A 23124-nucleotide genomic window follows, 5' to 3' on the forward strand; every position below is an offset into this window, starting at 1 on the left:
AAGATGAAAAAGTACCACTGTGTAGGATAAATTTGCACATACGTTTCACAGGAAAATCTTTACAAAAGATTAGTTACAACATACATTTTCTTAAAAATCTGATATGTGTGAATGTAGATATGTACATCAGGTGCATCCCACCTAACCTGACCTGGTTGTCTATGGTGCTTAGTTGTATGGCACCTTGGAACCACCTGGGACTTTGTGAGCCTCTAATCAGAGCACTGGTGAAACAGAGAAGTGCTAAAAACATGAATATTACAGATATGTGATGAGTGCGTTTGTTCTCTCCCCAAAAGAAAGAAGCAGTCTCATTGGACAGCAGTTAGTATAAAAGTTGTACCCTCCTTGAACTCAAGAAGCAGAAGGAAAAGGAGAAATAGAGACAAAAATAGAAAAGCTGGCAAGAGAAGTAGCAACACAAGTATCAGTGGTAATAAGAACGTTAAGAAGTTGGTCCTATAACACTATAGGCCAGCGTATTCCAGGGGCCCTAGCTCTGTTCAGCAATGTTTTGTCTTCTCTTCTGTCACACCACAGGGACAAGCACAGTGCCTGACATAGGGTAATTATGCAGTCAACTTTTTTTTTTTTTTTTTCCTGAGGCAGGGTCTTGCTCTGTCACCCAGGCTGGAGTACAGTGGTGTGATCTTGGCTTCCTGCAATGTCAGCCTCCTGGGCTCAAGCAATCCTCCACCTCAGCCTCCTGAGTAGCTGGGAGGTACACACCACCAAGACTGGCAATCTTTTTGTTTTGTTTTTTGTAGTGGTAGGGTCTCACTATGTTGCCTAGGTTGGTTTTGAACTCCTGGACTCAAGCAATCCTCCCACTTTGGCCTCCCAAAGTGCTAGAATTACAGGCATGAACCACTGCTCCCAGCTCAGTCAACATTTGTTGAATGAATGAGTGAACTGAAAGAATGACAGCTTATTAAAGGCAATAAACTGTCAAACAACAGGGAAATAAAATATAAATACCAATTTCAAAAGACTAGAGAAGAGTTGAATCAAGAGTTCAGAATTAGATAGAAATGAGGTTGTATAAAAGCAGGGTGTGAAAAAATGAAGAGAATCCAGGACTATTTTCATAGATACACTTGGGGTATTGAGGACTTGCCTTTTTAATTGGAGAATGTATGGGGAATGGTTACATAGGAATGGCTTCAGCCAGGGACAAAACATACCCATGTGCTTTCATGGACTCTCCAAGGGTAACATACTAAGACTCACAGTTTTCACCCTTAAATGTTATTTAAGTTAGGTTGTGTCTTGAAATCAGAAGATACATTTGGCTATTATTCCCTGTTTCCTCTAAAAGCAATTATTAAGTTATTGTTGCTTCTTATAATAGAAAGTGTTATAGAATGACAGAAATATGTTTCACATGTTGCCATATTAAAGCACAAACATATATGGCATAGCCATTTATGGGGAAATCCACTGGCCAACCCATAGTGCCGTGGAGTAACTATACCTATAATCTGTACAAATGCTAGAGTACAAGATGAGCAGCACACAGCTAGGTGCACTATACAATCCATGCAATGAAATGGTTTCCAAATTTTCTCTAAAAAGGAGAAAGGGGAAAATGCAAATACTTTATGCTAATCTTATAAATCTTCAAGTTATACACTACTTAAAATGGTTCAAGAATAGGAAAATAAAAAGATGAATCAACAAAAGAGCTGGCTTATAAAGGACAGCTAGTCAAATTACCCATAGAGGCTATCCATTTATATTAGAAACAGGTGGCATATGAGGCATAATTGGTGCAATGGCCCAGGGACTCAGGAATATCCAAATCTTGCCTCAAATCACCAACAACCCCAAGGGAGACTTACCATAGCAAAGGAACGCAAGACACTTTGAGTGGTAATGATAACGAGGGAACCCACCTTACACAGTGTCGGAGGAGGCCACGTAGGAAAGAGTAATGAGGCATCCCTACCCGTCCCAGCCAAGGTGGTATCAGTGCAGAGCTACTAGGGGCCTGAACTGTCACCCCCACCCAGCAGTAATGAGGAGTTCCTCCCTCCAAGTGGCAACAGAGGCTGAGTCGAGAACCTGAACTTCCACCACTGTCTGGCAGTAATGAGGTGGCATTCTATTCCCCTGCTGGAGTATTGTCAGAAGGGGTCTGCTAAAACACAAAATTCAAATAAAAACCAGAAGCTCGTAATATAATACCCAAGCAAATTAGGGTTCCTATTTTTCTGGAGGTGGGAAATTTAGAGCTGATACTATGGCTCTGCGATGGTATCAGAGACCTCATTGGAGCTTACAGTCTAGTGGAGGGAAACAGATTATAGCAAATAAATAAATCTATATTATGTTGGGGGTGGTAATAATCACTATGTAGAAAAAGTAAGCAGATTATGAGAATAGAGAGTTACAGAGTAAATCTGGTTAGGTGACATTTGAAGAAAGACCTAAAAAAAGTGAGAGATGTAGACATCTGGATATCTGGGGGAATGGCATTCCAGGCAGAGGAATCAGCAAAAGCAAAGCTTCTGCAACAGGAACATGATTGACGTTTTCAAGGAACAGAAAAGAGGCCAGTTAGAGAGGAGGAAGCAAGGGGGAAAGTGGTAGGAGATGACCTCAGAAAGGCAAATAGGGCCAAGTCCTGAAGGGCCTCACAGACCTTAGTCAAGGCTTCAGATTTCACTGTGTAAAATGGGAAGTCACTGGAGGACTCTGAGCAAGGGAGTGACATTTTCTGACTTAATATTTTAAAAGGCTCGCTCTAGTTGCTATGGGAAGAATAGACCATAGGAGGGTAAGGGTTGAAAAGGCAGACAAGCTAAGCTGTGGGAGATGACAGTAGATCAGATTGATAGATGTAGACATAGTGACAAATGGGTTTGTTTTCATGAAATAGCTGACAATGTTATAGATCCTGGATTGGATATGGAGTGTGTGAGAAGATGATGAACAAAGGATGGTCCAAAGACTTTTGGCCTAACAGCTGGAAGGGACAGAATTGTCATTTATTAAATAAGGAAGACTGGAGAAAATGCAAGCTTGGTTTGAGATGCCTGTTATATATCCAAGTGAAGACGTTTGTCGTATGTCCAAGTGAAGCTGCCTGTATGTACACCTGTATATAGCTGTTTGTGGTCACCTTATTGTTTCAAGATAGCTGAACCATCTACAACATCATATCTGCCTTCCAAGAAGGAAGTAGAGAGAAGGCAGTGGGTAAAAACAAAACAGTGTATGCAGCATTCTTATTTTGGGTTCCTAGAGAAGCCAGCTCTGAGATAAGAATTTGGATATACATTGTTTATTTGGGATATGAAGATATGGTGTAGGCTGGGCATGGTGGCTCACGCCTGTAATCCCAATGCTTTGGAAGGCCAAGGCAGGAGGATTGCTTGGCACCAGGAGTTTGAGAACAGCCTCAGCATCATAACAAGACCCTGTCTCTACAAAAAAAAAAAAAAATTAGCTGGGTGTGGTGGCACACACCTGTAGTCCCAGTTACTCAGGAGGCTGAGGCAGAAGGATCACTTGAGCTTCTTCCTCATTTTCTCTCGCCTCCGTCATGTAAGAAGTGCCTTTTACCTCCTGCCATGATTCTGAGGCCTCCCCAGCCATGTGGAACTGTAAGTTCAATTAAACTTCTTTTTCTTCCCAGTCTCAGGGAAAGCAGCATGAAAACAAACTAATACAGGCAGGTATGGGGAGATACTGTAAGTCTTTAGACAGTGAGGTTACTATTAGTCATATACATAGTAATATCTTGGGTCTTGGAGGGTCTATTGAGTTTCAAACAAAATGCTTAGTATAACAGCTAGGATTATAGCAACTGTTAAGAGCCCAGGAGTTCTAGTCTGCAGTTGCGTATGACTGCTCTACTGCACACCAGCCCGGATGACAGAGTAAGACCCTGTCTCTTAAAGATGCGGTATGTTAGTTTCCTATGGTTATTATAATAAATTGCCACAAATTTGGTAGCTTAAAACCAAAATTTATTCACTCACAGTTCTAGAGGCCAGAAGCCCAAAATCAGTATCAATGGGCCAAAGTCAAAGTGTTGGCAGGATTGCCCCCCTCTAGAGGCTCTAGGGGAGAATCTTTTCCTTGTCTCTCCAAGCTTCTGGTGACTGCCTGCATTCCTTGACTTGTGGACTCCAATCTTAAAGGCCAGCATCTTCGGGTTTTTCTCGGCTTCATCCTCATCTCCTCTTTTTCTCTGTGTGTCAAATCTCCCACTGCCATCTCAAGATTCTTAACTTACGTGAACCTCTCCATATCAAGATTCTTAACTTATGTGAAGATCTTTTTTCCAAATTAAGTAACATTTACAGTTTATAGGGTTAGGACCTGATTATCTTTGGGGACAATTTTTCAGCCTACTTCATATGGGAATAGGAAGTGAAACAGGGAAGGCAGGTTACCGGCTACCACTGTGGGTGACTGAGTCAAATCCTGACGGGGAAGCTCTGGAACCCAGCACAAATCACACCCCACAAGAGTTCTCCCAGCCAAGTAAAAAGTGAATATTTACACACCAATAGCGCACAGTCATTGACCAAAGTTGCTCCTGGGAGGGTTAATTCTCTGTCACTTCTGACTTGTCACAGAGGCAGCAAAGAGGACTCTAGCTGCAAGAGAAGGCACTGAGGCAAAGGAATGCAAGTTTTGTCCACAGGAAACCAGGCATGTGTCCTTAAGTGGTCACCATCAGGGATGTGTAGGGTACCCACAATATCTGCTGCAGCCCTCTTTTAAATAGCCTTTTGGCACCTTCCACTTATATTTCATAGGACAGATTTTGTTACATGTCCATGCCTAGTTTCAAGGCAGACTGGGAAATGTGGTTGTTTCTTTAGCTGGTTGCATTTCCTCTCTGAATAATATCAAAGTTCTGTTAGTATGGAACAAAGGAAGGATAGATATTGGGTAGGAAACTAGGAGAGAATCAATAAGGCTGACTCGGACCAAGGTTTATCACTGTTTATGGTGAGAAGCAGTCAGAATTTAGGATATATATTGGAGGTGGTGCCAGTAGGACTTACTGTTGTTGTGGGATTTGAGGGAAACACAAATCTAGGATCATGAGGGGTTTTTATCTCGAGCAACTGGTAGCAGTGGCAGCAGTTAAAGAGATGGAATGGACTGGAGTGGAGGCAGGTTTGTGGTGCAGGGAGTCTAGTGCTCTGTTTTGAACATGTGAAGTTTGAGGTGCCTCTGGCCATCCTCTGGACATGTCAGTGTTGAATAGATGGTTGGACATAGAAGTCTTCAACTCAGATGCTTAAGCTGCAGATACACAATTAGAAGTTATCAGAGCTAGCTGGCATAAGAATGAGGTTCACTGAAATTTCTGACATTCCAAAAGCAGTATATTAATTAAAACGTTGTCTAGATTAGAAAACAGATTTTATCAATGTGTGCCTAATTCTTCCCTGTGGGATCCAATGAAACAGCCAGCTCCAGGTTTAATAGAAAAAGGGTAAAATAACTACCTTCAAACACACTAACACTGCAGTCACTCATCAAATAGATCTTCTAGCAAGAAAGAACTTAATTGTCCTAGAGACTGGCTTACAGAACCCAGTAATACATGTGTAGATCAACATTTGTTTATTATTAATTGCATCATACATTTATGTATGTCAATATGCAATAGGAATTAAGGTACATAAGTTTATGAGGAGAGTGAAGCTATTTGTATTTTTAGAAAAATATAAAGATCGCCCTGAAGAAAGAGATTAGTGCCTGCTAATATTTCACTGTTGTCTTCTCTCCTCTAATCTGTGGACCAAGGGGTTACTTAGAATGTGAGAAGTTATGACAGAAAAAGTTTATCTGTAATACAAATATTTTAACAGATCTTCTGCTCTTTTTAGAACATAAAAAAATGCAGCTTTAAATTTGTATGAGCCTATAATTCTGATAAAACAATTGGTAGGGACTTGGAGGCTATGGCGTTGTACTTTATTTCTATAAATATGTCCTTGTTATTATGATGAAGCCTTTAGAACAAGGCCTTTATAAGTACATTTAAGCACTTTTTTTTAGAATAATGAGGTTTATACCTTATCCATGTCCCAACATTAAGCTTATTGCAAATGAGGGAAATGAATGGATTGAATGTGAGCCACCATCTCAATTATGTAATAAAAATAGGCATTTCAATGCTGCTAAGTTAGCAAACACTAATGATGACAGTAACATTTTTTGGATGACAAAAAAGTGCTTGAGGAAAAGCTATTTTTGTCTATGACTCAATAATTAATTTTAAACAAGAGTTTTCATGAAACTATGACCTAAAAACCATAAAATAATACATCTTTCACTTTAGTGTTTTAGAACAGACAGTTGACTAAAGAGCAGACTGACATCACAGACGTATCTATGAAAGTGGGCTCTAGGACTTCTGCTGGGGGTTCTCCCCATTTGACCTTGTGTATGTCTCGGGTCTGATACAGGATTTGGTGTGCAGAATAGGGTCTGTGAGCCACCAAGAAAAGTTAAATTATATTAGTATAGCCTATTAACTAAGGCAAATAAGTATGTAATATATTTTTGAGTGAGTTTCAGTAAAAGATTTTGAAAAAGTTAAGACCTAACTTAACTGCTTATCAGCCTTTGAAAACTCATTTTCATAGACTATTCCATGTTTCATGACATAGTCTCCTGTCTCTCCTCTCTATGCTTCTTTCTTCCTAATTCCTCCCTCCTTCCCTTCTTTTTCTCCATGATGACATCCATATCTGTCTTTTAAACCCCTCTCCCACGCTCCACACCCATTTCTATTTTAGATATCTCATGTATTCCAAACTGAATTCACTCCTTTGTTTAAATGTAGCATTTAATTACTTATTTTTCTTAGTAGAATTTTTCTCATGCTGTGTTTATTTTTCAAATTGTCCAAATATTTTTATGGCTTAAATATTTTAGAAAATATGCCCATTGATTTGGGAGCTGATAAAACACTTCTGAAAGTCATAATGGCATGTCTTGCCAATGTGAAAATGGAAGTAATAAAATTATCCCCAAAGGCTGTAATTTTCCTTTTTTTTTTTAACTTTTTTTTTTTAAGTTCAAAGGTGCATGTTGAGGTTTGTTATCTAGGTAAACTTGTGTCATGGGGGTTTGTTTTACAGATTATTTCATCATCCACATACTAAGCCTGGGACCCATTAGTTATTTTTCCTGAGGCTTTCCCTCCTCCCATCCTCCATCTTCTGATAGGCCTGAGTGTCTATTGTTCCCTTCTATGTATCCATGTGTTCTCATCATTCAGCTCCCACTTATAAGTGAGAACATGTGACATTTAGTTTTCCGTTCCTTTGCTGGTCTACTAAGGATAATGGCCTCCAGCTCCATCCATGTTACTGCAAAGGACATGATCTTGTTCCTTTTATGGCTGCATAGTATTTCATGGTATATATGAACCACATTTTCTTTACTCCATCTACCACTGATGGGCAATTAGGTTGATTCGTTGTCTTTGCTATTGTGAATAGTGCTGCAGTGAACATAACATGTGCATGTGTCTTTATGATAGAACGGTTTGTATTCCTTTGGTATATACCCAGCAATGGGATTGCTGAGTTGAATGGTATTTCTGTTTTTAGGTCTTTGAGGAATCACCACACTGTCTTGAACAATGATCAAACTAATTTCCACTCCCACAAACAGTGTATAAAATGTTTCTTTTTCTCCACAACCTGGCCAGCTTCTGTTATTTTTTGACTTTTTAATAATACCCATTCTGACTGGTGTGAGATGGCATCTCATTATGGTGTTAACTGACATTTCTCTAACAATCAGTAATGTTGAGCCTTTTTTCATATGTTTGTTAGCTGCATGTATGTCTTCTTTTGAGAAGTGTCTGTTCTTTGACCATTTTCTAAATGGGGTTGTTTGCTTTTTTTTCTTGTAAATTTAAGTTCCTTATAGATGCTGGATATATTAGACCTTTGTCAGATGCGTGGTTTGCAAATATTTTCTCCCCTTCTGTAGGTTGTCTGTTTACCTCTGTTGATAGTTTCTTTTGCTGTGAAGAAGCTTTTAAATTAATTAGATCCCATTTGTTAATTTTTGCTTTTGTTGCTATTGCTTTCGGTGTCTTTGTTATGAAATTTTGGCCTATTCCTATGTCTAGAATAGTGATGCCTAGGTTGTCTTCCAGGGTTTTTACAGTTTGGGGTTTTACATTTAAGTCTTTAATACAGCTTGAGTTAATTTTTGTATATGGTGTAAGGAAGGGATCCAGTTTCAATCTTCTGCATATGGCTAGCCAGTTCTCCCAGCACCATTTATTGAATAAGGAGTTTTTCCCCATTGCTTGTTTTTGTCAGGTTTGTTGAAGATCAGATGGTTGTAGATGTGTGGCCTTATTTCTGGATTCTCTATTGTGTTCCATTGGTCTATGTGTCTGTTCTTGTACCCATACCATGCTGTTTTAATTCTTGCAGCCCTGTAGTATAGTTTGAATTCAGGGCACAATCTTGGCTCACTGCAACCTCCGCCTTCCAGGCTCAAGTGATCCTCCCACCTCAGCCTCCCCAGTAACTGGGACTACAGGTGCACATCACCATGCCCAGCTAATTTTTTGTATTTTTTTGGTAAAGACAGAGTTTCACCATGTTGCCCAGGCTGGTTTCGAACTCCTGAACTCAAGTGATCTGCCCACCTTGGCCTCTCAAAGTATTGGGATTACAGGTGTGAGCCACTGCACCTAGACTTTCATACGAATTTTTAAAGAACTTCTTTCTGTTTTTTTCTAGTTCCGTGAGGAATGTCATAGGTAGCTTAACAGGAATAACATTGAATCTATAAATTGTTGTGAGCAGTATGGCCATTTTAGTGATACTGTTTCTTCCTATCCATGAGCATGGAATGTTTTTCCATTTGTTTGTGTCATCTCTGGTTTCTTTGAGCAGTGTTTTGTAATTCTCATTGTAGAGATCTTCCAGTTCCCTCGTGAGCTGTATTCCTAAGTATTTTATTCTTTTTGTGGCAGTTGTGAATGGGATTGTGTTCCTGATTTGGCTCTCAGCTTAACTGTTGTTGGTGTGTAGGAATGCTAGTGACTTTTGCACAATGATTTTGTATCCTGAGACTTTGCTGAAGTTGTTTACCAGCTTAAGGAGTTTTTGGGTCAAGACTATGGGGTTTCTAGATATAGGATCATGTCATCTGCAAACAAGGATAGTTTGACTTCCTCTCTTCCTATTTGGATGCCCTTTATTTCTTTCCCTTGCCTGATTGCCCTGGCCAGGACTTCCAATACTATGTTGAATAGGAGTGGTGGGAGAGGGCATCCTTGTCTTGTGTCTGTTTTCAAGGGGAATGCTTCCAGCTTTTGCGCATTCAGTGTGATGTTGGCTCTGATTATTTTGATGTATGTTTCCTTGGAACCTAGTTTATTGAGAGTTTTTAACATGATGCTGAATTTTACTGAAAGCCTTTTCTGCATCTACTGAGATAATCATGTGGTTTTTGTCTTTAGTTCTGTTTATGTGGTGAATCACATTTATTGACTTGCATTTGTTGAATCACCCTTGCATCCCAGGGACAAAGCCTACTTGAGCGTGGTGGATAAGTTTTTGATGCGCTGCTGGATTCCATTTGCCAGTATTTTGTTGAGGATTTTTGCATCTATGTTCATCAAGGATATTAGCCTGAGGTTTTTCTTTTTTTGTTTTATCTCTGCCAGGTTTTGGTCAGGATGATGCCGGCCTCATAGAATGAGTTTGGGAGGAGTCTGTCCTCCTCAATTTTTTGGAATAGTTTCAGTAGGAATGGTACCAGCTCTTTGTATGTCTGGTAGAATTCAACTGTGAATCTTTCTGGTCCTGGGCTGTTTTTGGTTGTTAGGCTATTTATTATTGATTCAATTTCAGAGCCCATTGTTGGTCTGTTCAGAGATTCAGTTTTTTGGGGGGGTTTTGTTTTTTGTTTTTTCGTTTTTTTAGGCGGAGTCTTGCTTTGATGCCCAGGCTGGAGTGAAGTGGCGTGATCTCAGCTCACTGCAAGCTCTGCCTCCCAGGTTCACGCCATTCTCCTGCCTCAGCCTCCTGAGTAGCTGGGACTACAGGCGCGTGCCACCACGCCTGGCTAATTTTTTTGTATTTTTAGTAGAGACAGGGTTTCACCATGTTAGCCAGGATGGTCTCCATCTCCTGACCTTGTGACCCGCCCACCTCAGCCTCCCAAAGCGCCGGGATTACAGGCATGAGCCACCGCACCCGGCCCAGAGATTCAGTTTTTTCCTGGCTCAGTTTTGGGAGGATGTATGTGTCCAGAAATTATCCTTTTCTCCTAGATTTTCTAGTTTATGTGCATAGAGGTATGTATAATATTCTCTGACGGTTATTTGTATTTCTGTGGAGTCAGTGGTAATTTCCCCTTTGTCATTTCTAATTGTGTTTATTTGGATCTTCTCTCTTTTCTTCTTTGTCTAGCTAGCTGTTTTTTTATTCATTTTTTTCAAAAAACCAACTCCTGGATTCATTGATCTTTTGAATTGTTTTTTATGTCTCTGTCTTCTTCAATTCAGCTCTGATTTTATTTATTTCTTGTCTTCTGCTAGCTTTGGGGTTGGTTTTCTCTTGATTCCCTAGTTATTTTAGTTGTGATGTTAAGTTGTTAAATTGAGATCTAACTTTTTGATGTGGGCATTTAGTGCTGTAAAATTTTCCTCTTAACACTGCCTTAGCTGTGTCCCACAGAATATGGCATGTTGTGTCTTTGTTCTCATTAGTTTCAAAGAACTTCTTGACTTCTGCCTTAATTTCATTATTTACCAAAAAGTTATTCAGAAGCAGGTTATTCAGTTTCTATGTAATTGTACGGTTTTGAGCGAATTTATTAGTGTTGATTTCTAATTTGACTTTTTCCCCCACAAACTTGTTTCTGCACCTCTGTTTTCCCATTGTTAGTGGGTAAGCTAATCCTGAATCCCAGTTTGTCCAGAACAGTAACTGTTTATACCTAGTGTGCTGGCATAATTATTATTAGTGCTCCTTTCACTTTCAAAATTGTCCTGGTTTGGCTAACAAGTCATATGATCATTATAGCAATGTATCTGATGATGTATATATATACATACACACGCAGCAGGTAATGCTTATCAAGTCTGCAGCTCACGCAAAGCTGGGAGATATAGATATAGATAATATATTCTCTGATAGAAACAGGATCCCAAACATAAGCTCAGATGTTACCTCATTTAGGAAGACCTCTGTGATAGCCTACCCTCTGCAAGTCTGTATTCAGTATGCCTCCTTTTTGAAAGCCCGCATATATTCATCAGTCTTTTATTCTGCCTGCCTGCCTTGCAAATCTCTCTATTCACAGGCAATTGCTCTTTTGTCTCTGTTTTCCCTGTACCTTACACAGTGCTTAATGAATGTTTGCTGAAAGAACTAGTGATGATGACCTACAATGAAAGACTGAAACTATCAAGCTGAAATTTAATAAGGATAAATACACAGCTCTACCATTGGACCCCTCCTCTCAAAAAATTAAACAAGCACAAGATAGTGAAAGGTGGCTTACTCATAGCATGCATAAAAAAGAAATAAGATTTTTAGATAAGAATAAACCCACCTTGAAACAATGTGATATCTGCTTTACCCTTTCCTCTCCCAAATCCAACTAATGTGATCTCCATCTGGTTAAATAAAAGTATATGGCACCTAAACCAAAGGATCTGTGAGACCCCCTCTGAGCTGATTAGACCATACCTGTGGTATTATCTTAAAGTTCCAAATGGTATGTTTCAAGGATGAAATTGACAAAAAAAAAAAACTTGTTCAAAGAAGAGCTAGAATTAGAAGGGTCTGAAAATCTTACCATAGTCATCCTTTTTTTTTCATTCAGCAAATGTGTATTAAGCATCTAGTATTTTTCAGGCAGTATACTGGATACTGAGTATAGAGTGGTGAAGAAAAAATCTCTAGGAGCAATAGAAGGAAATAAAAATATTTGTGGAAATAAATAAAGACCACCCAAATGAAAACAACTGAAGGTATTTATTTATTCAGAGCTTGCTATACCAAGGGAGTCACCCACTATCACTTGCATTTAGCAGAGACTCAAAGGGAGGCAGAGGAGTGGGAAAGCTTTAAGGTAAAAAAAGGGAAAAGGGTTCAGGTGTGCCCTCATTGGAGGGTGTTGGCATGTAGAGGCTGGAGACAGAATAACTAAAAGTGGGGCACCCTAGGGGATTGTTTTGAGGAGTATATTTGGCTTTCTCTAGTTTGTCCTGAGTTGGAAGTGGGGACAGAAATTAGGGAAGATGGCAGTCAGTGATCAAGCCCTGACCATTTTGGGACAATTGCTGCAGATTTTGTGGCTTGGCTTTCTGGACTGGTTGTGTTGTTGCAGAAATTATGGGTCAGAGTCTACTGTCATATGGTCTGATTATTGTCCATCCATATATTCAGTCTCTAATATTGAACACTGACAAAAGAAGAGGAAGTACACTCAAAACTGTATTTGACACACTGATGACTGTATTCAGTACTTTAAAGTCTACTGTGTTGAAAAGGCATTTGTCCTGAATGGTCTCAGTGGAATCATTGAGATCAGATTAGGACCAATGGATGGAAAAGTTCTTCAATATAAAAAAATCTGTCTAAAACACATTACTGTCTAGCTACAATCTCAGACAGTAGTTACCTGTTAAGAGAAGAATTCAGACCTAGGATGGATAACTTATTTGCAGTGATATTGAAAAACAGGTCACAAACTTTGGCATGCTTCAGAATCACTTGATACTTTTGTTACTGATGCAGCATCTTAGGGTCTGTCCTAGACCTGCTGAATCTGATCAGTAGTGTATGATAGATGATTCTCTTAAGAAATATTTGTAGAGGGGCAAGGTGCGGTGGCTCACACCTGTAACCCCAGCACTTTGGGAGGCCGAAGCGGGAGGATCACCTGAGGTCAGAAGTTTGAGACCAGCCTGGCCAACATGATGAAACCCCGTCTCTACTAAAAATAGAAAAAAAAAAATTAGCCAGATGTGGTAGCACATGCCTGTAGTCCCAGCTACTCGGGAGGCTGAGGCCGAAGAATCGTTTGAACCCAGGAGGCGGAGGTGGTAGTGAGCCAAGATTGTGCCACTGCCCTCGAGCCTGGGCAACAGAGCGAGACTCCATCTCAAAAAAAATTATATATATAATTATATATTTTTATATGAAAATTTATTTTCATATAAAAATGTATTTTAATAAACATATATTATATTTTCACATAATATATACATTTTATATATATTATATATGCTTATATATGTAAAAAATATATATGTATTCATAGAGGGAATGCAAACACTGGATGGGTAGTTGGGGTAGTTGGACTAGTTGACTTGTAAGAGTTCTTCCATCCTGAGAGTCTAACATTCTAACTTCTGCATAGCATAACCATAACCAGGAAATAAACCATTCATTCACTGAACAATATTGATTGAGTAGATTACATTATGTCCAGACTCTGCTGTAGGCCTTATTTTAACTTCCTTAGCATGGTACATTCTTACATGCCAAAAGTTAGCAATTAAAAGAACTCATTCATTCTTTAGAGATTTATTGAGCGTCTACTATGTGCTGTGGTACTATACTAGGCTCTGGTGAGATGGTAATGAACCAGACTGATATAGTTATTTTTTCCTAGAGCTTACATTGACATAGTTCTTTTTCTTCAGAGTGGAAAAAATAGACAAAATCTATTTACAGTACAAGGTGATACATGTTGTCATGAAAAAGAAAAATGGTGTGGAAACACCAGGCCATAGTTCTATTCTTTCCCCCTACAATTCCAATTAAATTTCAATCTTAAAATTCAATCAAGTTATTTATAGAGGAATTAGTATACATCCTTTTGTCAGATTTATTTTAGGTTTTAAGTAAAAATTGAAAGCCTCTGGGCCTAACATTCCTCCAGGAATGCTAGGAGAAGACTTCAGAATGGCACTTTGTACTTAAAACAAACCTCTCTGATGTCAAAACTGGTGAATATCATATTGAATAAACCAAAGGAACATCATCTTTTTGGGCTGACTCTGGATATCTTAGAAAATGATTCTGGAAATTCTAAATTCTTTGGATTTTAATATCTGTTTCTAACCTTATTGCAATGGAGCAAATTTGTACTGTATTTTTCAAGCATGTTCTTATTCAAAACACTGTGTCTTTTGCTGTGTGGTATACAGGAAGACACATTAAATGGGAAGCAGCTGCCTAGGATCTAGTTCTGGCTCTTCCATTAATTAGCTGTGTGATCTTGGGCCTCTCTGAGCCTGAGTTTTATCAAAATGCTAAATGATCCTTAATTAGCTTTAAAATTCTGATTTGGTGAAACTAAATGGAGGAAATGCTGTCATGTGGCACCTGCCTCTCCCTCCTGTCCTCCTCCCAGCCACACAAATACATTAGAAGCCTCACTACCATCATTGAAATGGATGCTGAAATAACTTGCTTTTCTAATCTGGACGTTTGTATGTTCCTTAGGCTGAAGTGTAAGACCTCAATAACTACCTGCTTATCCAGTCTGAGTGACTGGACTTACACCAGCTCCCTGGAGAATGCTTCAGCTTCTTTGAAAAAGAACTCTGTAGTGAGAGCACTTACCAATCTGTCTTAACAACAGTTGCTATAGTCCTAGCTGTTATACTAAGCATTTTGTTTGAAACTCAATAAACCCTCCTGGACCCAAGATATTACTATGTGTATGACTATTAGTAACCTCACTGTCTAAAGACTTACAGTATCTCCCCATACCTGCCTGCCTTAGTTTGTTTTCATGCTGCTGATAAAGATGTACCTGAGACTGGGAAGAAAAAGAGGTTTAATTGAACTTACAGTTCTACATAGCTGGGAAGGCCTCAGATTCATGGCAGGAGGTGAAAGGCACTTCTTACATGGGGGAGGCAAGAGAAAATGAGGAAGAAGCAAAAGTGGAAACCCCTGATAAACCCATCAGATCTTGTGAGACTTATTCACTATCACGAGAATAGCATGGGAAAGACTAGCCCCCATGATTCAATTACCTCCCCACCCCAGGTCTCTTCCACAACACATGGGAATTCTGGGAGATACAATTCAAGTTGAGATTTTGGTGGGGACACAGGCAAACCATATCATTCCAACCCTGGCCCCTCCAAATCTCATATCCTCACATTTCAAAACCAATCATGCCTTCCCAACAGTCCCCCAAAGTTTTAACTCATTACAGCATTAACCCAAAAATCCACAGTCCCAAGTCTCATCTGAGACAAGGCAAGTCCCTTCTACCTATGAGCCTGTAAGATCAAAAGCAAGCTAGTTACTTCCTAGATATAATAGGGGTACAGGTATTGGGTAAATGCAGCCATTCCAAACAGGAGAAATTGGCCAAAACAGAGGGGTTACAGGCCCCATGCATGTTTGAAATCCAGCAGGGCAGCTAAATCTTAAAGCTCCAAAATTATCTCCTATGACTTCAGGTCTCACATCCAGGTCATGCTGATGCAAAAGGTGGGTTCCCATAGTCTTGGGGAGCTCTGCCCCTGTGGCTTTGCAGGGCACAGCCTCCCTCCAGGCTGCTTTCACAGGCTGGCATTGAGTGTCTGTGGCTTTTTCAGGTGCACAGTGCAAGTTGTTGGATCTACCGTTCTGGGGTCTGGAGGACAGTGGCCTCTTCTCACAGCTCCAATAGGCAGTGCCCCAGTAGGGACTCTGTGTGGGTGTTCCTACCCCACATTTTCCTTCTGCCCTGCCCTAGCAGAGGTTCTCTGTGAGGGCCCCGCCCCGAAGCAAACTTCTGCATGGGCATCCAGGCATTTCCGTATATCTTCTGAAATCTAGGCAGAGGTTCCCAAACCCCAATTCTTGACTTCTGTGCACCTGAAGGTTCAACAACATGTGAAAGCTGCCAATACTTGGGGCTTCTATCCTCTGAAGCCACAGCCCAAGCTCTACATTGGCCCCTTTTAGCCATGGCTGGAGCAGTTGGAACACAGGGCACCAAGTCCCTAGGCTGCACACGGCATGGGGACCCTGGGCCTGGCCCATGAAACCACTTTTTCCTCCTGGGCCTCTGGGCCTGTGATGGGAGGGGCTGCTGTGAAGGTCTCTGACAAGTCCTGGGGACATTTTCCCCATGGTCTTGGGGATTAACATTAGGCTCCTTGCTACTTATGCAAATTTCTGCAGCTGGTTTGAATTTCCCCTCAAAAAATGGGTTTTTCTTTTCTACTGCATCATCAGGCAGCAAATTTTCTGAACTTTTATGCTCTGTTTCACTTTTAAAACTGAATGCCTTTAACAGCACCCAAGTCACCTCTTGAATGCTTTGCTGCTTAGAAATTTCTTCTGCCAGATACCCTAAATCATCTCTCTCAAGTTCAAAGTTCCACAAATCTCTAGGTCAGAGGAAAAATGCCTCCAGTCTCTTTGATAAAACATAACAAGAGTCACCTTTACTCCAGTTCCCAACAAGTTCCTCATCTCCATCTGGGACCACCTCAGCCTGGACCTTATTGTTCATATCACTATCAGCATTTTTGTCAAAGCCATTGACAAGTCTCTAGGAGGTTCCAAAATTTGCCACATTTTTCTCTCTTCTTCTGAACCCTCTAAACTGTTCCAACCTCTGCCCATTACCCAGTTCCAAAGTTGCTTCCACATTTCGGTTATCTTTTCAGCAACGCCCCACTCTACTGGTACCAATTTACTGTATTAGTCTGTTTTCACACTGCTAATAAGGACATACCCGAGATTGGGGAGAAAAACAGGTTTAATTGGACTTACAGTTCCACATGGCTGGGGAGGCCTCAGAATCATGGGGGGAGCCAAAAAGCACTTCTTATATGATGGAGGCAAGAGAAAATGAGGAAGAAGCAAAAGTGGAAACCCCTGATAAACTTATCAGATCTCATGAGACTTAGTCACTATCATGAGAATAGCACAGGAAAGACTGACCCCCATGATCCAGTTACCTCCCCCTAGTTTCCTCCCATAACATGTGGGAATTCTGGGAGATACAATTCAAGTTGAGATTTTGGTGGGGACACAGCCAAACTATATCACTGCCTGATCCAATTCCTTAGAAACAGACACCAGCCATATCATGCCAAATTCCTCTCCTTGAGGAGCCATACTATAGCCCAGTTGGTACCCTTGAATCTCATCCTACCTAGCCCAGGCTTGCTCTTCTGTCCTTAACAGACAGGAATGATATCCCAGTTTGCCTCTGTCAAACCTTCTGAAGTTATGATAGACATAGGTATATGTATGCCTATATGGAAGAGCATTGATCCTGAAGCTAAGTCTTATAATTTTTCCTAATTAGCATATTCCTTAGAATTAGCCTACTCTAAACAATGTTATTTTAAAAAATTAAGTATATATACACTGTTAGTTCTGAAATTGGCTTTATTAATTTTAAAAATTAACCTTCAGCTTTTGAACTTATTCCTATTTAAATAATTGAACAATTTCAGGAAATAATGTTCAAGCTATGCAGAGCAATGTAATAATTTTTTTTGCCCTCACATTTCACTACTTTAAAATGTATTTTACTTTCCTACAATTGCCAGAACTTCTCCTTGTGAGGCTGAGCTTCAGGAATTAATGGAACAAATTGACATCATGGTAAGCAACAAGAAAATGGATTGGGAAAGAAAGATGCGGGCTTTGGAGACACGATTAGATCTTCGGGATCAAGAATTGGCAAATGCACAAACTTGTTTGGATCAGAAAGGTCAAGAGGTACTGAATACATATGTTAACAAATTGCTAATTCATCAGACTGTTACATATAGTATTCTATCAGAATATGTTTTTATTATACATACTTTTTATCAGGCATCAGCAACAGCATTTATTGCTTGAAATTCTGTCAGCAAATTATAGGCTAAATGTATTATATCAAATAAGTGAAAATCAGAACCTAAATCCATAGATGTTTGCTGATAGAGACAGATACATAGTGTCAATGCCATCTGTAAAAGTAAGCAAATATTTAATATATATGTAAAATATTGTTTGCAAGTAAAGATGTAAGTACTCTTGCTGCTGCAGAAACAAAGAAGTAGTCATCAAAACTGTGGACAAGGCAGAGTTCAGTAACATTTGCTTCTTTGAATATGCTGGAAAAAATAGAAGTAAGATGTCAAGAATTGATAATAGGACAAAGGAGAAAAGAGTTTGGTAAAGGGGTGTGTGTATACCTGGGACACCCACTTAAGAGGAGTTCCCTTAGTCCCTCTAGGCTGCTCACTGCCAAGCTGGTGGTCATAGAAGAATATATGAGTGCTCTCAGGCCTGCGAAGGCATTCAGGAAAACCATATGCTTTATTTGATGTGGACTTTGTGTCTGTGAGTTTTTCTTTTGGGAAAAGAAATGTTTAAAGGAAATGTTTGCTAGTTATATACCGTAACAAAACATCATTAGTTAACTTGTTCATCAACCATTTTTCTACCTTTATTGACTTCTCAGTGGAACTTAGTTTTTTGGCATAGTTAACTATATTATTGTTTGGCATAGGTAACTTAGTTATTGGCATCTAGTTTTCCTTCACAGTAGAGGTAGGTCATCAAAACATGGCATATGCATTCTTCTTCTTTTAGCTTTTATATGTATACTGACACAGATATGTAAACAAGTGCCTCATCTGCCTTTTAAAGAGACAAATTATATAAGCCAAATCCTTAGGAACTGCTCTTAGACAATTTTCTTTTTCTTTTTAATGTATTAGTTGTTATAAAAATGTATCAATTATTTCATAATACCACTAAAACAGAGATCCTCTTGAAGGTAATGGAGAAAAAAAAAGCTGAATTATATTGGTAGAGGTTTTGCTTGGAATGATGACATAGCCTCCCAAAAGGATAATGCAAAGTAAATTCTAACCCTGAATTTTAAATGTGATGATGATAAGGATCTTTTGTTAAACATCCGTACTGTCCTAATGTGTACCTTGTGGAATAGTGCTAGCAATGTTTGGTTTTTGTGAATTTAATTATTGATAGCTATTTTAAGAAGTGCAGTACAAATATTTACTCTTGGTTTGGTACAGCCATTTTATTTGAATTGTTCTTCTCTTTTGCACATTTTCTGATTTTGTCAGGCAAAATTTAGAAAAAGCAAAATTAAATTTTATTCTTCATGCAGGTAGGGTTACTTCGACAGAAATTGGACAGTCTGGAAAAATGTAATTTAGCAATGACTCAGAATTATGAAGGACAACTACAAAGCCTAAAGGCTCAAGTAAGAAAACTTATTATAATTTAATATCACACATTTTGATATATTTTTTTTTACCTGTAGAGTTGTGTTAACTTTAAACTGTTTTCAGTATAAACAAATGTCTTGTATTTTAATTATAAGCTTGGTCATGTCTTTCCCTGTTTTATATGCATTGATTTTGTCTCTTACTAGATTGTTGTCTTGCTATATTTTCTGTGCCTCTGTTAGCACAGTAGTAGACAAATGGCTTTCTATTTCTCAAGAGACTTGTTGATGAATTAAATAATAATTAGCTCACAAAAAATAATTCTGTGAGCAACAACAAAAAACAATTATTTTTTGTGGTTATTACTATCTAATAAAGATGTTCTCAATTCTGTGATAATTTAAAATGTGGAAGTTTGCTGTTATGAAATAGATAATTGAAATAATAAAACTGGTCTTTATTACCTTGTTACTGGTAGGACTGTTTCTTACATGATAGTGCTTCTGCATATGTATTGAGAAGGATACAGATTTCTTTTTCACTTATCCCTGTATCTTCACACAAAGAAGGCACACAAAATGCCTTCTTTACCACAGATAGCACGTAGGGTAATAATCATTTGAGTATGTCAAATGTAGTAGATGCTATATCTTTGCTTAACTTAGTGAATGAATCAATGGGAAATATGGTTTGATTATGAAATTTTACTTTATGACCAACTTTTTTTGGAGTACAAATATTTCACATATGATAATTTAATTAAAGGAGCCTAAGCAATTACTGAACCTTTTTAAATACGTTTTAGGAGGTAATTAAGCCATTAAGATTGAAATATGAAACATTTGATGCCATTTAACAGATGATTTTACAAGACTAGTTCTTAGTCTACCTAGACATTTTGCCTATAGTTCAAGTAACTGCCACTGTATGGTAGCTTGAGTTATAAAATTATATATGGTTTTTACTAGCTTAGACTCTGAGCATTTAGCATGTAAGTCACCTCAACCTTTATTTTTCTATGAAGATAAGGCTGTAAAACAACAACATAAACATTAAATCATTACATATTGGTCAATATAAATAAAGAGATCACAATCTGTAGTAGGTTTGAAAACCACACAGAAATCTAGAAAGTTAGGTGCCATCTCTAAGTTGTATTTAACCAGTTCAGTCACTGCTTTCCAAATCTTTCATTTCTGTTTGGGTATGTTTTCATCGTGTTAAAAAGTTCTTGGCTTTGTTTACAGGCACCAAGCAGTCATTTAATATATGAATCCTTGCCATTTGATGCTTTGCCGCTCTATTTTATTATTTGGCTGATGGCTGGTTTTCAGTGCTAACCAAAAAATATCTTTATGGTAACTTAATAAAAATTTGTTCTGTGGAAAACACTGTGAGTTTAGGAAATGCTGTTTAAGCTAATGCTGGCCAAGTTAAGACTCCTCCCCTCCTGGAGATTAAGGGTACACATTAGCATATTACAGGCCATAAGAAGTCCTGCCTTAAACAAACTGATTTAGCCTTTCCAATCCATCGTGTTCCAAAGATATTGGACAATGGAGCTCTTCTTTTTATTTATTTATTTATTTAATTGAGATGGAGTCTTGCTCTGTCGCCCAGGCTGGAGTGCAGTGGCATGATCTCCCCTCACTGCAACCTCCGCCACCCTGGTTCAAGTGATTGTCGTGCCTCAGCCTCCAAATAGCTGGGATTACAGGTGCGCACCGCCACACCCAGCTAATTTGTATATTTTTAATAGAGATGGTGTTTCGCCTTGTTGGCCTGTCTGGTCTTGAACTCCTGACCTCAGATGATATGCCCACCTCAGCCTCCCAAAGTGCTGGAATTACAGGCGTGAGACACCATGCCCAGCCTCTTCTCTTTTTTTAAGCTAAAACATTCTGATACCACTGTAAACAGGGGTTTCGTGGAATACACTGGGAATGCTACATTATTGTTGAGAGCCACCTATTTTCACTGCAGTTTTCTGCTTCTCTTTTTCTCTAGTTAAAAGAAAAAGAGGAAGAAAGGGAAGGAGAGCAAAAGAGAAGGAAGGAGGAAAGTAGGGGAAAAGAGAGAAAAAGAAAAGTACTATGTACTTGATTCGGTTTGCATAAAGCTAGTAATATGCTGTTTTTCTAAGCAGAAAATGGTATCTTGTGGCTAACATGCTTTTGTTGCTGCCAGCTCACTCTACAGCTTCTTCCTTTGAAATTTCTGGTTTATTTACAATTTCATTTTCCTGAAACATCTTAAGGATACACTTTACCACACCCTGCCTTGAATAACTCAACTCTGTCAAAGCTTCCTTTTAGAAATTGCTTTCCTTTTAAAAAGGAGTTATTTTTTTTCCTTCTAACTATTATAAAACTATAATTTCAAGTACATAAATTTGAGGCTTTTGCTTGTGGAATAGATATACTCTTCCCTATCCTCCGATTAAATTGGACATCATTTATAAAACAACATAAGACTCTGAGAAGTGGAGAGAAGAGACAGATTGGCTAAGGACCTTGGGACTCAAGAATGTCACAATAGTGAGTTCCCTAGGATTTGTTTTTGCCTCATATATCTCAGACTGAGTAACAGAAGCTGGCAAACCAGTTATGCCAATGGGTGCAAACAAACAAAAAGAGCCCCAAGGAAAGTCTGCTCTCTCCAGCCAAAAGACCAGAAGAGAGACAGCCTACCAAGATAATACACTTTTAGATAACAACCTCTCTACTCCAGCCTAATAAAACAGAAAACAAACAAACAACAACAACAACAAAAACTATAGCCCCACTGCCACCTACAAAGGCTTAGTGGAAAAACCTAGATTTCTGCCTTCACTAAGCTGTAACAAGGTAACCCGGGCCCTCTTTCCTGGGTAATGTCTGAGAAGACTGAGTGGAGAGCCAGGACTTTCATCCTCACTAGACATTAACAAGGCCCTCATCAACCCATCGTGACATTGGAGAGCCTGGACTTCTACACCTACCTGGTGGTAAGGAGGCACCTCTCCCTGTCTACTCTCGGGTGGTATCATAGGAAGGCTGTTGAGGAGTCACCACTGCTTAGTGGTGACAAGTTCACCCACCCCCACTATAGTATCACTGAAGGCCATGTGAGAAGAGTTACAAGGCACCCATGCCCCTTCAATCAAAGTGTATTAGTGAAAGACTAGTGGGGAGCCTGAACTCCCACTTCCAATCAGCAATAATAAGGAGCACCTCCCATTGGATACCAACTGAAGCCAAGTGAAGACTTGGACATCCACTATCCCCTGGCAGTAATAAAGGGGCACTCCATTTTCCCTTCTAGAAATTGTCAGAGGAGGACTGCTAAAACACAATATTTGAATAAAATCCAGAGTCTCAAAACACAATACACAAAAATGTCCAGGTATCAATAAAAATCATTCATTATAGAAAGAACCAAGAAGATCTCAACTTGAATAAGAAAAGACACTCAACAGATGCCAAGGCCAAGATGCCACATGTTAGAATTATCTGATTTTAAAGCAGCTGTTATAAAAATACTTCCATGAACTATTACAAATATGGCTTGAAATAAATGAAAAATTATAAAGCTTTAGCAAATAAATAATATAAAGAACCAATTAGAAATTTTATAACTGAAAAGTATAATAACCAAATTTAAAAACTCAATGGATGGACTTAAAAGCAGAATGAGGAGGACAGAGGGAAAAGAATCAGCTCGAAGATAATACAATAGAAATTATCCAATCTGAACAACAGAGAGAAAGAGTAAAAGAAAATGAACCTTGGGGACATGTAGTATGATAACAAGCAATTTAAAATTTATATCATCAGAGAACCCAGAAGGAGAGGAGAAAGATGGGGAGGGTGAAAAAGCATTCAAAGAAATAATAGCTGAAAAGTTACAAAACTTAGCAAAAAAAAAAAAAAAAAAAGTAAACCTGCAGATTGAAAAGC

The 23124-nt window shown here is 38.9% G+C and overlaps 1 protein-coding gene and 1 long non-coding RNA gene across 16 annotated transcripts in view; one reads left to right on the top strand and one right to left on the bottom strand.

Moving 5' to 3' along the window:
- The window catches only part of DEUP1 (deuterosome assembly protein 1), a 108473-nt gene that overhangs the window by 7825 nt on the left and 77524 nt on the right, over nt 1–23124 (top strand). For all 15 annotated transcript variants that reach the window (XR_007062456.1, XR_947798.3, XR_007062457.1 and 12 more), the window contains exons 3-4: nt 17549–17720; nt 19126–19221. Coding sequence is in view for 12 of the 15 variants with exons in the window: in XM_011542631.3 (XP_011540933.1) it covers nt 17549–17720; nt 19126–19221 (268 nt within the window). In the remaining 3 variants the exon portion in view is untranslated. The remainder of the gene's footprint in view (nt 1–17548; nt 17721–19125; nt 19222–23124) is intronic.
- Nucleotides 3953–12894, bottom strand: LOC124902734 (uncharacterized). The gene is made up of 2 exons (XR_007062839.1): nt 11821–12894; nt 3953–5268 (listed from the first exon to the last, which is right to left on the bottom strand). It is a non-coding gene; the product is annotated as an uncharacterized LOC124902734 (long non-coding RNA).

Source organism: Homo sapiens, chromosome 11 (assembly GCF_000001405.40).
Source record: "Homo sapiens chromosome 11, GRCh38.p14 Primary Assembly".
Classification (NCBI taxonomy): domain Eukaryota; kingdom Metazoa; phylum Chordata; class Mammalia; order Primates; family Hominidae; genus Homo; species Homo sapiens.